This window comes from Homo sapiens, chromosome 10 (genome assembly GCF_000001405.40).
Source record: "Homo sapiens chromosome 10, GRCh38.p14 Primary Assembly".
Lineage (NCBI taxonomy): Eukaryota > Metazoa > Chordata > Mammalia > Primates > Hominidae > Homo > Homo sapiens.
The window spans coordinates 100,641,712-100,643,084 of record NC_000010.11 but is presented as its reverse complement, the minus strand read 5'-3'; the positions used below and the strand labels follow the sequence as shown (position 1 = coordinate 100,643,084).

The window sequence follows — 1,373 nt, the reverse complement described above, 5'->3', positions numbered from 1 at the left end:
GAGTATTTACTGAGTACCTTCTACGTCCCAGGCACTAGTGCAGGCCCTGGGGACACAGTGATAACCCAGACTGACAGTCACGGGGGCTCCAGGGGACTAAAGGACTGAGGAGAAGGCCTCATGCCCCTCACCCACCCCCACTGCAGGGCAGGTGCAACAGACCTGGGAGGTCTGCGGAGGGCTGGGCTGGGCTGGGCATTGTTTTGTCATCTGCCTGGGCCATTGCTGCTTTCCACTCTCCACCCTCAAAGAAGATTCGCCTGGCACTAAAAACTACTCCCCCTTTCTCTGAGCTGTCTCTTCCACCCCCATGTTATTCATTTCCTGACTTGCAAACTCTGAGTTCTGACATGCATACCACCCCCATCCCACCACCGTGTTTTTGTTTTGGTTTTTACTCTTGATTGTCACAGATTTCCCAGGTCCACGAAGGAGGACAGAGTGGAGAGCGCGTGCACACACAGAAAGCACATATTCCTGTCCTTGGGTTCTTTGCCCAGAGTAGCCTCCCCTCACATCCCCCTGCCCTAACCAGGTGGGGCCACTGCTGCCGGTCTCCTAATTAGCAAATCCACAGGCTCCTCTTGGTATTTCTTCTCTTCGACCTCTGCGGCATTTGGCAGCAGCTCCACCCCTCCTCCTTGAAACTGTCTCCTTTCTTGATTTCCATGACATTGCACCTCCCTGCTTCCCCTCCTCCATCTCTGAAGTTCCTGATCTGGCCTTCCACAGCCCTCTGCTTTCTCCCAACCCCTAAATTTAACTCTGCCTAACCATTCTTCCCTCAAACCTCTTCCCTCCCCTCTCTGCCCTTTCACAAGCACTGTCAAACCCAACTTGACCCATCATCTCTCTGGAAATAAATACCCAGTTGAGATTTCTAACCCCCAACTCTATCTCCCAAATGACAAGCCTAAATTTCCACCTGCCTGTTTCAGCTGGTACATCAATTTCCCCATGTGCAAGACTGAACACGTTCATTTCTTTGGCAAACATTTCTCCAGCACATATTATGTCCAGACACTGTGCCAGGCACTGAGGATACCAAGTGAAGGATGCAGTCCCTGCCCTCAGAGAGCTTAGAGTCTATGAGGCTCCCCTCCCCTCACCTTCCTCCTCATTCCTTCCTCCTTTCATCTTTCCAATTATAGAGCCTCTGAATCATCTACTTGTTTTGCCCCCAAAGCCCATGTCCTTGACACGTGTTATGGTTTCCTCACTTCCTCCTCATCCAATCAACTGTCAGGTCCTGGAATATCTTTGTCCTCATTGCCACTGGCCCAAATCAGGTCCTCTCATTTCTTACCTACTGAGTGGTTTCCTCGACACCTATCTCTAGGGTGTGGCTTGCTCCATGACCCCTACTAAATCTA

The 1,373-nt window shown here is 51.2% G+C and overlaps 1 annotated feature.

Moving 5' to 3' along the window:
• Positions 262 to 891: an enhancer, noted in NCBI's record as "NANOG-H3K4me1 hESC enhancer chr10:102401951-102402580 (GRCh37/hg19 assembly coordinates)". NCBI's record gives its function as "activates a minimal SCP1, AML or CMV promoter by ChIP-STARR-seq in naive H9 embryonic stem cells {active_cell/tissue: H9 hESC(naive)}" and the evidence as "EXISTENCE:reporter gene assay evidence [ECO:0000049][PMID:30033119]".